The 13,951-nt window shown below is 49.6% G+C and overlaps 1 protein-coding gene across 2 annotated transcripts in view, besides 1 other annotated feature; it reads right to left on the bottom strand.

Moving 5' to 3' along the window:
* The window catches only part of DRGX (dorsal root ganglia homeobox), a 32,024-nt gene extending 21,787 nt beyond the window's left edge, over positions 1–10,237 (bottom strand). Inside the window, exons 1-6 of one of the 2 annotated variants that reach the window (NM_001276451.2) lie at positions 10,083–10,237; positions 9,555–9,669; positions 5,312–5,409; positions 4,281–4,382; positions 828–1,006; positions 626–738 (exon numbers count right to left, since the gene is read on the bottom strand). In NM_001276451.2, coding sequence (NP_001263380.1) covers positions 626–738; positions 828–1,006; positions 4,281–4,382; positions 5,312–5,409; positions 9,555–9,588 — 526 coding nt within the window. In that variant the 5' untranslated portion in view covers positions 9,589–9,669; positions 10,083–10,237. Of the gene's footprint in view, positions 1–625; positions 739–827; positions 1,007–3,108; positions 3,214–4,280; positions 4,383–5,311; positions 5,410–9,554; positions 9,670–10,082 lie in introns of those variants that run through there. The other variant, XM_011540089.4, reaches the window with a different exon arrangement.
* Positions 12,252–12,411: a silencer, noted in NCBI's record as "silent region_2362". NCBI's record gives its function as "represses an Ori minimal core promoter by ATAC-STARR-seq in GM12878 lymphoblastoid cells {active_cell/tissue: GM12878}" and the evidence as "EXISTENCE:reporter gene assay evidence [ECO:0000049][PMID:35858748]".

Consider the following 13,951-nt stretch of genomic DNA (forward strand, 5'->3'; position numbering starts at 1 on the left):
ATAGGTTTGGGGCCAGAATCTGAGAAACACTGGATAAGCCCATTCCAGTGAGTCTGCTCAGAAATCCCAAGGGCCAATCCACAGAGGCTCCTCTCTCTGAGTCTGACAAAATGCCCCTAACGATTTCTATCCTTCAGATGAAACAACAGCCACCGAGAAGAGAGCACATACTGGAAAACCACAAATCCTAACGGCTCAGACCTCTGGCATCAGGAGACCTGGGGAAGGCAAGTGGCCCAGTCGCATGCATGGAGAGGGAGCTGGGAGCAGGGATGATTGTCCCACACAGGCCCCACCCGTGAGCTGCAGGTTGGCACCTAACACTGTTACCAGGGAGCAGGAGAAAGCTGTGAACATGGAAGGTCACTGTGGGGCAGCCTGCTCTAGGACCAGCCCTCTGTGGGTGGAATGATGCTTAGGACATTCTCTCTATGCTCAGGACGCATGTAGGAAGCAATCAAGATAGCACTGGACAGCACCAGTGGCCCTGGCTGTGACTGACAGGAGGCGAGGAAGCTGCACAGGCCCAGGTGCAAGGACGGCCGAGCCAAGACCCAGGCCGGTCACACAAACTCCACCAACCCCATGAGGCCACGCCCACCAGCCCAGCCGAACCCAAACTCACCTTTGAGGGAAGCCACATGGGACAAGGCCTGGGCGTAGGTGGCCGTGTTCAGGAGAGTCCCCGGCAAGCAGGAGGGGAAGAAAGGCCCTGCAGGACCTACCGTTCGCCCCAGGCTGGCAAAGGAAGGAGATCATATTGAGGTCTCGCCCTGTGTCTGCAGTGCTGCCCATGGCCCACCGGGCCCAGAGACCCACAGCCTCACCTCTGCTGGGCCTCCAGCGCCTCCTTCTTACTCCGGGCTTGGTCCCCAGGGGGCGGGGAGTTGATGTTTCTCACTGGAGGAGGTGTCACCTCTGCCATGGGCTCCTTGGCTCCTGGCTCCTGGTCTGAGGCCCCTCTCTCTGTCTTCCTCCATTTGGCCCTTCTGTTCTGGAACCAAACCTGAATCCCAGATGGAAACATACACCCAGTGAAAATCAAACAGGAGGAAGAAGCCAGAACCCTGGACCCAGTGCTGGCACTCACAGCTCACCCTGCAGCCTCCTCTCCACACCATGCCCTCTGAACTGCAGCGTCAGGCCCACAGAGGGGTCAGAAGATCCGCTTAAAAGGTTAGGACAGGCATTTTTTAATGAATGTTAAATAATGGAAAGTATCCGAATGCCCATAGTAAGGGTAAAAGCACTGTCTTGTGGAAATCCTTAACGTTGAGTCACACGCAAGTTCATTTATTTGTTGTGAAATGTATTTCCTACTGGAGGTGGAGGATCACCAGCAAAGCAGCTTAAGAAACCTGACCCGGGGCTTCCTCATCACAGACTCACTAGCTCTTCTGACAGCTGTGGCCTGGGTACCTGGGTGTGTCTGGTCTGGCCTCATATCTATGATATCATCTGGATACACATCATGACATATTCGTGATCAGCAGCCCAGTGCACCCATTAGAAACATTGACTCTGGGTCAGGCGTGGTGGCTCAGGCATGCAGTCCCAGGACTTTCGGATGCCAAGGTGGGCGGATCACTTGAGGTTGGGAGTTTGAGACCAGCCTGGCCAACATGATGAAACCCCATCTCTTTTTGTAAAAATACAAAAAGTTAGACGGGTGTGGTGGTACATGCCTGTAATCCCAGCTATTCAGGAGGCTGAGGCAAGATAATCACTTGAACCCGGGAGGTAGAGGTCGCAGTGAGCCGAGATCATGCCACTGCACTCCAGCCTGGGTGACACAGTGAGACTCCATCACAAAAAAAAAAAAAAAGACAGAAAGAAAAGACAGAAAGAAAAGAAACACTGACTCTGGATCTAGCCATGGCCTAGAATTTGGGACCTCAGTAAATCTGGTTTAGAATCCACTGCATCCCTATGAGGTAAGTAGTCCTGTTATCCCCATTTTTCAGATGAGAAAATTAAGTGCAGTGAGGTTAATTAACTTGCCTAAGGCTATCCAGGTGGTAAATGGCAGATCCACAGTTTGAAGCCCAATGGCTTGGCTGGGAACTGTGATTCAAACTGTTTGGGGGTAATAACTGTGGCCACCCCATAAGCCTTGTTAGGAAGATTGGCATGTCTGCAAAACACCGAGCACAGGGCCTGATGCATAGCCATCCATCACTCAGTAAACACGTACTCATGTCATCTCCGTCACCCTCAGGTTACAAAAAAGCTGGTAATTCACCTTGACCTGAGCACCTTCTTAGAGGTAGGTGCAGGGTTCTTTAAGCCTTAGAAACCAAAATTGTATTCTGTAGGATGGCCTCATGGAAGCTGGGCAGCCCAGATTCAAGGAGTTTCCAGAGGTCAGTGAAATCCTGCTGCTGTTTACTCCTTCCAGCAAAACCTCTTCCCTCCTCTCCTGGGAGATAATTCCTGACTACAAAGAAAAAAGAAATGCTTGGCAAGACCTCCCTTCAATTCCCCAGGGCATCCTCTCCTCCCCTGGCTGCTGGCACACTGGCCCCAGAGAGAGCCTGGGTCCTTGAGGCTGAGCCCTCTGCTGGGCTGGCCCACCCTATCTCTTAACTTTCATTCTCCTTTAACTGGGTTTCTTTCTTTCTTTTCTAATCTACTTGGCTTTTAATTGCACATATCAGCAACCATTGAATAATGATTTTATCTATATTCTAAATTTAGGGCAGTTAAATGCAAAGCAAAATGCAGACACTTTCTTGCGTCTTAATTGAATGAAGGTCACAGCTATAACAACATTTAATTGAGCTATTTTTCATTATCATATTTTAATGACTTTGCACTGACAGTTCGCCTGCTTCTGAGGAAAGAGCATGATGGAGTCGTTTATTTCCCTATTTAGTTATTGTTTGACAACATCAGCTTCGATTAAGACCCTGCTTTATAGAACATTAATCATATTTGAATGAGCAAGGGGTATAAATGTAAACACATCTCCCTTCCCACCACCAAAGCCCACGTCCCCACATGGAGGCTCACTAAACAAGCGCTTCACAGCCATTGTCTGTCTGCATAATAGCCAACAACAGCCTGAACAACAATTCCCGGCTTTAATTGTCACCACCCCTATCTTACCCTTGCACCTTTCAGGGAGAAGTTATGATCTTCCACTTCTGAATGCTCAATAATTGTGTCATTTATCTCAATTTGCAGTTCAGTCTTTAGGCAGCTATTGGCAAGCTGGCATTAAAAAAAGAAAGGATAGACGGTATCCTGGCCAAAGGAGATTTTCATTTCCAAATAATAATCAGTTTAATTTGCCCGCATATGACCAATGATTCATGTTCAGATTTAATAATCAGGATCACATAATCTGATTATAGGGGAAATAATTTGTTTACAACCCCCAATTTACTGCTCAGAATTCCATTATCTCTCTTCAGCCATTGGTTTTTAAGAGATACTAACATGACCCAGGGGAACCGAAAGCAAACTATTATATTTCCTACAATTAGATCTTTGCATAGTCTTAACCCCAAGCCCCTACATAAAAAAGAACAGAAACAGCATGGAGGAAACCCCATAAATAAAATGAATATATAATTGTGCTCAAAGAATAGCTCGCCCAGAGAGGCGGCACCGTGAATCCCTTCCTCTCGCACTTGGGCACATCTGCTGGGTTCGGCGGGCAGGTTTGTGTGCCTAAATGTAATCACCGTGTAGCTTCTAAACAGAAATCCTGTTTAGAGACGGTCACCGCGGGCCATACTCATCTCTGAAGCAGCCCTATCACTACTGCTGTTTAAAGATTTTTAAATTGCACATCTTCTTTGGATCCACTTTGTTGAAAGAGTCTGAGGGCAGGGGAAAAGTTGGACATGATGCAATTTCTGGAAAGCAGATCCTACTCTGCTTCCCATCTGAAAACGCGGTTCTCTGCAATTGACCAGCCTTACCCCAGAGCGGTCAGAGCTGCTTTTAGAATAGCATCTCAGCTCTTTTCTTTCTTTCTTTCTTTTTTTTTTTTTTTCCAAAGCAAGGAAATGGATGTGCATTGATGTAATTTAGTACCTTAGAGACGCGGACAAATTAGTGTAGAACATTATCACTAGTTAATTATGAATGACCGATTAATCAACCTAATCTAATATTCCACATTATGTTGATGTTATTAAAGTGCATCATGAAAATGACAGATAGTCTTCATTTGCTTTCTTTGGCCAAATGTGCACTCTGCAGTCATGATGTCAAAAAAAAGTTTGCCAGTTTTAATATTAGAGAGTTAAATAATTAAAAAGAAGGTTTACCTGCACTCTGGCTTCTGTGAGGTTTATTTTCATGGCGAGCTCTTCTCTGGTGAAGACATCTGGATAGTGTGTTTGGGCAAAAACGGCCTCGAGAGCTTCCAGCTGGTAAAAGGAAAAAATATGTACTGGTGAGAGGCTGTGGCTAGGTGAGGGGAAGCAGATGCATATTTCAAATCTCCTGTGAGTGGTGAGGAAGCAGTTTCACAGATTAAATCGAGGAAGGACAGGGAGAAGAGAGCTCTTTGGAAAGATCCCACAGAATGAGAATTTCAACCGCGGATGACTTAGGAGCTACGGCTTACTAGCAACCTCAGTGCTCTGGCAAGAAGTAGAAATAAGAGAGGTGTGAATATTTATATGCATTTACATTTAAGTATTGTCATAGGAATCAAAAAAAAACTAACAGTCACCTTATGAACTGTTAGAGTAATTGTTATCGCTTTCACCATAGGAAGCCAGGGAACAGAAACAACTTGCAGAAGCCTCATGGTGTCATCCCACAAAACGCCATAGGGATATTTGGTCACCTTCACAGCCACTCCAGTTCACTCCAAGAGTAGGACAGAGGCTGATCGAGGGGAAAAAGCCCAGCTCTGGGAAACACAGTATCAAGGTCCCAGTTGTAGCCCTTCCACTTGTGGGCAACTATACCTTATCCAAGTCAGCCAACTTCCAGGGATCCGGTTTTTCATCTCTGTACTGAGAATGAGAATGTCTGACCTGCCTTCCTCAGAGGATCACTGTGAGGTTCAAATGATATTGCTGACATGGAAGTGTTCCCCAAACTATCCACCTAAGGCAAGTGGGAGAGAACGTTGTTGCCTCTTCACTCATCTGGGATTACAAGGTTAGCGTCATCTGCATGCCTCCTAAATTTTGATTCCATGGCACATAAGTTGTTCAAGAAAACAGAAAGATTCAGTTAGCATAATCAATTGGTCTTATTTTAAAAGACAAAGAAGAGTTGCTCAACTTTGATTTGGGGGAGGTAGGAAGTAGCTGATGTTTGAAAGGAGAATCAACGTTGGTACCTGCTGAAGAGTGAACGTCGTCCGGTTCCGGCGCTGTTTTCTACGCAGAAACCCGTCATCAAAATCCCCCGAAGAGTGATTGCCAAAGGTTGCAGTGCCTACCAAGAGCAAACTGATCAACCTGGGCAGGAAGGGGCCCCAGTCCTCAGACCGCCCCCAGACACAGTTCAGAGGGCACCCACCTGACCCACCAGACAGGAAGCCCTGTTTGTCCCAAAGGATATTTTTCTGTTCCTCCTATTAAATCCTCCTCTTTTCCACTCTGTCCCCAAAACCTCTGACTTTAAATCCAGGTATCCCTATTACATAGGGCGAGTGGTGACCTTAATCCCCAAGATGGCCAATTTCAATTCTTGTGAAATTCTAGACTCTGAACCAGGAAGGGTCACTGGCTTGAGGCAGAGCCTTCACGTGCTCTCCAGCTCCCAGCTCCACCCCTGTTCAATGTGCCTTTATCTCACCCCTACTCCAGATCCTTTAATAGAAGCCTGTGTGTCTCCCTTTGGCTCATATGGTAGTTTACTTTCCCTTGTTTCTATTAACAAGAATTAAAATCTGGGGGTTAGGAGAGGCTGGGGGAGGAAAGAAAACACCAAGAGCTTTTCACGGCACTTTTCTCTTATAAGTGCAGAACGTGAGGAGGTAAGAAGTTTATAAATGAATATTAATTACCGTTGGTCACAGCTCATCAGCACCATAGTGGATCTGTTATATAGATGTCAATTAACAAGAGATCTGCACCAATAGTGACTGTCCTGAATGCCAAGCAGACTTGAACAAGGCCACTCTCAAAGGGCACCCCACCCTCTGGCCAAGCCTTATAAAGCACCTACCACTTCTACTTCCCCACAAAAGAAAGACATTGTCCTCCCCAGCAGGCTTCCAAGCTCGTTATAAACGCAGAACAGAGTTTGGCCCCAAATGTGCATTCAGATCATTTTCCAAATGTGCTCTATTTACTTGATAGTCCACAATGGCTTCTTAGGAAAACAAATGAGCAAGTTGCCATTAACCAGTGAATACTTTACCTGCCATGGGCTCTGTTCTCAGAATCACGGCATTAGGAGTTCTGGAGCTACACTGTCCCAGACAAGGACCCTCAGAAGGACCTCAGTCTCAAAGATTGAAAGTCCTTTGGGCTTCTTAAAATTCTGTCTACTAGAGGAAGTTCCTTTTAGTTATTCTTTCACCATCCAGGGCCACATCCTTTGCCAAACACCCTGACTCTCTGCTAAAGCGTTCTCCTTCCATCTTCCTGTCCAAATTGCATTGTTCCTCAAAACCTTAGTTACAGGTATTTCTCTCCAGCTCATTGGAAACTTAAAAGAAATGACCTCAAAGCAGTCTTATTTTCATTACTTTGCAAGAAAACAAATTGTCTTTTTTTGAAACAATGCACTTGACTGGTGAGGATGGAACACAATCTCTGAGGATCTCCAATCACAATTTCGCTCAGTCTTCTAATTTATACATCATGGTCCCAAAGTGGCTCACAATGTGTACATGCAGAATCTTTAAGTAAAACACTGCATGTCGAACTGAATCCTAAAAAAGGGCTGACAGTTCACCAAATTAATAAAAGATTGACAACCTAATAGAAAAGAGGAAAAAATGAGAATAGCTCTTTTACTTAAAAATAAGTAGAATAGTCGATAATATTATGAAAATGCTAAACCTTGAGGATAATTCAACCAAACACAACAGAACAATGGAATATTATTTTCAACATTTTGAAGAAAAAATGAGGTGCATAAAGACACCCAGTACAGATATGAGTATCATAAGATGTGCAGGCTTATTCACCATTTGTAGGAGTACAAATTGGGTACAGCCTTATTAGAAGGTAATTTGACAACATCCATCAAAAATGTAAGTACACATACAGGTATTTAATCTATAAATATATTTGTAATGTGTGCCAAAATAGAAAAAAAAAGTGCTTCTGGAAATACTGTAGTTGAAAAAAAATGAAAACAACCAAAATGCCCATCAGCAGATGCTTTCTTCACAACATACAATGGAATACTACACAGCAGTTTAAAAGAAATCAGTAGATCTATATGCATTGGCATGAACAAATCTCCAAGATATATTACAAAGTAAAAAAAGCAAAGTACAGAATGATGTAGCAATATAATTTCAGTGCAAATAAGGCAAAACACATATTTTAAAAATACATAAATGAGAATTAAATCATGTTTTTCTTGAAGGAATCACAAAAAAAATAGCAGATACTTTTAGGAAAAGAGGTGGAAAAGGAGGATTTTGCTTTTCAATGTATAAGTTTCTGTTGTATTCAAACTTCTCAGGCAGGTGCCAGTAGTACTTTTTAATGTAACATCAGCAAAATTATCTGAGAAGTAAGATTATGAGCCTTTCTTTCTTTTCTCCCTTATGCCTATCTAGATTAACAAAAAATTAAAATAAAAAAGATGATAGGCTATAATTATGTCATATTCCAAGGGTCTGTTCTCAACTTTTCCATTTGCGGGAGATCCCTTTCACCCAGCAACACTAAACTAAACTAAATTACTCCTTTCTGCAAAACTGGCATAGAATCACATCTACAAAGGGATGAAAGGCTCTTAAAGACCCATCTCCTTTTCTTCTGGTTATATCACAGAGTCAGCACTGAGGTGGGATGTGCCCAGGGTGTGGGGAGCACAGTAAGCCAGCTGAGCTGGGCTGAGAGCTGGGGTCACCGCAGGCCAGGCCAGGACTCTCCCTAACTCACTGCTGCAGTCCACCCCGCAGACAGACATTCATGACGTCCCCTACCTGCCAAATGCCCAAACTTCTGCCTTACCCACTTTGACCAGAAGGGTGGGACACTGGCTGGCAATTAGTCCAGACCCCTGGTTCAGATGCACAGAGAAGGCACCCTTAACATACAGAAAGTCTCCCTCATCCCCTAGGGTACACTGTCAGGGGATGCACGTCTCCCACCCTTCCATAAAACCCACCCTGCATGGGAACTTGGGGATAAAATGTGAAATGCAGGCAAATGTGTGGCCTTCCCTTCCTAGGAATGCTGACAGAGCTAGCAGGGCTTAAACACTGGTCCTCATTAGCCTCCTTTAGAAAATCCTATTGGACTCTTAAGAGCTTTTATGAGAAAAACAAAAACAAACTTTCTGAGGCTCAGCCACTGCTCAGGGCAGCCTGCAGCAAGACTGACAAGCATCACCTGAAGTCTCAGGTCTCCTAGCGCCTCACAACATATACCCTGCCCCTTGTCTCCCACAACTACTTGGCTTCCCAAATTCTCCCACCACAATAATAAATCAAACGAGTAGGTTGCCAAATGCCAGTCCGACGGTTACAAAAGTCCCAATACCCCAGTGCTGAGACTGCTGCTCTGCAGAAGGCCCCATTAAAGCCCACAGTGTGGCATTGGCTCACCTGATGGCTACTAATTGGCCCCCTGATGTGAAGACCCCATCCTTGGATCCCTCGGGTCCTGAGCAGGGGCATGCTGAGGTCCCAACTGTCCCCTTCTCACCAACCCACGCCCCCACTAACAACTGGGTGCAGAAGCCAGACTGGGGATCCTGAGGGGAAATTTCTTCTCAGGCCTGGAGACACTCAAAGATGGAAATTCTGGCCTGGGGAGTGGGGAGTGGTCGACATTTAGGGTTAGTGAGTCACAGAGAAGGAGCCATGCTAGGTCAGTCCGGGCAGGTGGTGGGCAGGGCCACCTGGTTCCAGGGACGGCCAGGAGGCCGGGAAGGGAATTGAGCTGCCCAGAATCCAGGGCGGAAGAGGCCCCTGCAGTGTTCTCGCCAGCGGCCCCAGTGAGAGCAGCCCAGCGACGGGCCCTTGTAGGCTCGTGCAGCTCGTGATCTGGGCCAGGACGCGGCGGGTCCACTCGCCTTTGCTTTCTGGGATGTTTGCAGAAGCACCGTGAAAGATTGATGCGGCCCCCTGGGTTGCGGAGCCCCAATTAGAGGCGTGACACCAGCATCTGTGCTGGGAGGATTCGGCCGGTCCCCGCGGCACGCCTAGCCCGGGGCGTCCTGGCCCAGGCGGGGAGGGAGCTGGGAGGCAGGTGGCGACGGGGCGGGGAGCTGGAGCGGGCCTGGAGTGGGGTGTAGGGAGGGGTCCAGGGAGGCCCCTACTCACCGGCAGGCGGCTGCGCCCCCCGCAGGGCGGGGACCCAGCCACCCACCAGCCCTGCTGCCGCTCCGGCCCTTTCTGGCCGGCTCTGGCTTCATGGAGACCCTGGGGCGCAGCGCTTACTTACCCTCTAGCTGTGGCGGGCAGTGGAAATAAAACATCGCCGGCTGTCAGATCGGCTGGACGGCCGAGACCTGGGAGGGTGGCAGCAGAACGGACCCGCGCGCGTTGCTCCTGCCTGGCTGCAAAGCAAACAGCGATAGAGCTTCAAGTCTCCCTCTGCCAGCGCTCCCGCCCAGCCCTAGGGCGCACCCGGCGCTCCCCTCCTGGAAAGTCCCTCCCAACGCCCTCATCTCACTGCGGGGGACAGGAGGGAAGGCGGCAGCCCCGTCGCAAGCAGCAACCCCACAGGGCAGTCCTTCGGGTGTGTCCACCTCCCGGACGGCCGTGCCCTCACCCTGGCCCCAGCACCAAACCCCGCAGCGTAGTTTCTGGCTCTCTGGGGTCCCAGCCAGAAGCCCTGCACCCGGGCCACCGCAGCCAGGTCCGGCTAGCGCGCAAGGCCATCTGCGAGCTGCAGCTCAGGCCAGGAAGGCAGCCGAGCCCCAAGGCCCGGCGCTCGGGGCCCGGCGAGTGGGTCAGGAGCCGAGCATACCTCGGCGGGCGGCGGTCGAGGAGGTCGGAGCGTGACCGCCTCCGATCCGCAAGCCCTGCTCGGCTGGCGGCGGGCGGGGCTCGGCGCGGCTGGCGCCCGCAGGACCAAAGAAGTGACTCGGGAAGTGGCCAGATGTCTTGCTGTCTGTCTGCAGCGCGCGCCGCCGCTCAGCACTCGCCTTTATAATCTCACGCATAATTGGCCTTAATCTGATTATTTCCAGCGCTGTCTACAGCGAGTAACTTGGATAGGTCTATTGGGCCTTACAAATGGCCCACGTGGTGTTAAAAAAAAAATCCGTCATTTCTCAGCAAACATCAGGAATGCTTTTTCCTCTTTTAAAAGAGAACGATACAACCACCACCACCATCACCCCCAAAAACATACATTTTCCGAAAACACACTAGGCCCCACCCCCCACCTCATGTCCCCTCAGAGGCAAACCTTTCTCCGAGAGAGCCTGGTTTGGGCTGCCCTTATCAAAGGCCTGGTGACTCCCGGGCTGCAAATTGGCAAAGCGCTGCTAATTGTCGCCGCCGGATGGGTTTTGGGGGGACTCTTTGCACACGGCTTCCCTTTCCAAACGATCGTACAAAAGGAAAGTTTGATTTTGTTCTCAGCAAGGGGTCCCTGAATTTATGTTCGCTTCTCGATGCAAATGATATGCGGTGGGACCCTTTGCAATTACTTTTAAAATGCATCCGAGGCAGACACTCAACGGAGAGAGACCGCCCTTCTCTCTGCCTGGGTGAAAATTAAACTCTAAAGTACCGGGCTGAAATTTTCAAGTCAGGGGCGCGGGATTGGATCAAATCACATAAACTGCAAAAAAAGCAAGTCTAATGGCGCATAATTGGTTCTGTAATAGCATTACACCAGGATAATAGCCCGTTACGGCCCCCTGCACTATTAAGTGCTTCCCTGGCGGAAAGCCTTTATGATATTAAAGGGGGAATATAATGATATTTTGGTTATTAAATGCGTGTAATTAATTTATGCACCACTGAAAATAAAGTTGGTATTATGACCCACTCAAGATGCATCAGAAGATGCAAGTCAGACAACTGTTGATAAGTTCTGGTGTCTGTGCTCCGTCTAGACTGCTGATTTTATTTTGGGACGATGGCTTCTTGGACAGACTACATAAATTGAATATTTTATAAACATTCTAATGCTGCGTTAGGGAGCCTTGGCGAGGTGGTGGGTCGGGTCCCTGCACGGCCCGGGATACAGCCTTGATCTTAAAGACGCAGCGCTTTGGAAACAAAAGGCCTGGCAGGCCCGCCGCTGGACACCAGCGCTGGGCAAGGAGCATCGAGCTGCAGGACAGAGCGCTGGGTCCCGGCCGCCGTTGACGCCCCTCCGAAAACAGCCGGGAGGAAGACCAGTCCCGCTCCGGTCGAGGCAAGTCAGGATCTATTCCAGTGAAGCGGCCCTTCCTGGGCTCAGTCGCTCCAGAGCAGAGTCTGCTCTGCCTCGGGGAAAGAATCACAGGAAACTTCCGCTCGTTTCAGAGCGGAGAGAGCTCGGGGCGCCATTTCCGCCAGGGCCACCGACTCCGAGAGTCCAGGCAGCCGGCCCGGGAGGAGCGGCTAGCAGGTCCCGAAGGCGGGTGAGGTGGCAGGCAGGGGCCGGCAGGGCAGCCGAGGGCCTTTCCTACGTCATGCCAAGAGGGCTGGGAGCCCCTAGAGCTGATCCTCCCTTAGCCCAGGTCAAGAGACTGGCTCGCGCGCGCTGTCTCTCTCCCTGTCTCCCTCAGAGGGCCCCTGCTCTCTGGAGCTCTTGACAAGAGCCCGAGGCTCCTCTTGCCGCCTAGGTCTGCCGAAAGTCCCCTCGGGTTCCCTCCTGCCCTAGGCAGCAGTTCCCTGCCTGTGCGCTTTGGGAACCCGGTGGCCGTGAAGTGAGGTGCGGACAGCTTCTGGGCCGCCTCGGCCAAGATGCTCAGGCGCACCTGGGGGTGTGTGCGGGAACCCTCAGCGGCAGCAGCCCAGCCCGGGGTGCAGTGTTGGCCCCAGAAACCAATGAGGTCCAAACGCCAGTCTCAGTTCCCCATCCCTGACATCGACCGAGGCAAGTTCCTATTAAGGCCCAGAGATGACCCCGGGACGAGACAGGCTCATCCGGCGCGGATGAGACAGGCTCAGACCTGCGCGGTCTGAGGACGGCGCGCTCGCCGAGCAACCCGGCAGGTCAGAACCCTGGACAGCGGCGCCGGTTTCCGCACCCCCACCCACCCCCGGCTGCTGCGGAGAAAGAAGCCGTACCGGGGGCCCAGCCGGGGCCCCTCGCTGCTCAGGGGTGGGATCCGCCCGGCCGGACCCCAGGCGTCCGGGGACCGACCCCAATCCTCTCCCAGTCCAAACCTGCGAAAGTTACTCCGGACATGCGCTCAGCGCTGGCAACAGAGACAAAACTCCCTTCTCCGCAGTACCACGCGCCGCTCCTACCCGGCCGCTGCAGCCGGAAACCATCTCGCGGCCCCCGAGGAGAGTCCGGCCGCCTCACTGACTAGATAACCAGCCGAGCTCCCTCAACACACCCACCTCGCGGGGGCTCTAAGCCGGCTTGGGACCCTCGGCCTCGCCTCGCCCGGCGCTCCTCTCCCGGAGCCGCTAGGCTGGGCTCCTTCCCGTTGGCAAAACAGCGAGTAAACAAACAACCAAACAACCTTAGAAACGAAAGGCTGCACCAAACTTTGATGACGCCAGCCCCCTTTTTTTCCGAATGTCTCGACACCCGGGAGAAGGTGACTAATAGGTGTTCGCTACGGTCCCCCTCCCCCTAAAAAAGGGCGTTAGTAACGAAAAGGTTATTTTTCCTTAATTTTTGTGCGGTAAAATGTATTTTCCAATTAACCAAATTCGCCGATCTGTCTCGCTTGGACACTCTGATAATTTACAACCTAAAAGTGTACTTTCTTTATCTAAAGACCAAGGTGACTGCTTTTAATTTTCTCTAACCTCTTTACACTTGATGTTCACCAGACTCATAATGTTAATTGGCTTCATATACGGATCATCAGTTTAATGAAGAAATAAATCCTGTGTTGCTTTATGTTTTAACAGTGATTGCTTTAATGAGGAATGTGACGTGTTCCAAAATCAAAGCTGCAGGAGACATTAGAGGGGCTTCCACTAGGACAGAAATGCTTATTTAAAGTTAAAACCGCGGGGTCATATTTCAGCAGATTCACAGTCCTCCCCACCCCCTCCCCCGCTCCCCGCCCTCACCTAGCCTGCCTCCCGCCTCTGTAGGGAGACAATCCTGGGTCCTCAGTGCCCCTTCTCTCCGCATCTCATACCCGCAGCCACAGCATCTGCATTCCCGAGAATCATTTCCTGGTTGCTACATAGGGTGTGCTACTTTGCCTCCTGTCCCATAGGGAAGAGAGAAGCCAGCTCAGGGTGGGGAGTTCAACTTTCAAAGTTGTTCATGTTTTTAAAAATAAAATGGGAAGACAGTAACACGCCTGAAGACTGGCGTGCAGATGTTGTTACAGATGCAGCTCCCCCAGAGCCGCATGTCTTAGTGCTGAAAATTCGAGGCTTGGCTCCCAAAGGCTGACAGCTCCAGCTCAGGCCCAGTGAGTGGGCTGCTGACCCCCCAGGTTCTAGCCACTGCAACTGTCTGCAGGGATGCGCTAGGCTTCTGCCCAGGTGATGGAAGTTTTACATCTCTATATCAATTAATAGCAGAGTAAATCTGCTTTCTCTAATGGGTGTTTGATTTTTCTAATTTTAAGCTGGTTCTATGAAAGGAAAACTGTCATCTCAGAAACACTAAGAGCAGCAATAAAAAGCTGGAAATGCGAGCATCTATCTAAGCCCTCAATTGTTTTCAGTTGAATTATGAATCATTTTAAATTGATT

The sequence above is a fragment of the Homo sapiens genome, chromosome 10, assembly GCF_000001405.40.
Source record: "Homo sapiens chromosome 10, GRCh38.p14 Primary Assembly".
NCBI lineage: Eukaryota > Metazoa > Chordata > Mammalia > Primates > Hominidae > Homo > Homo sapiens.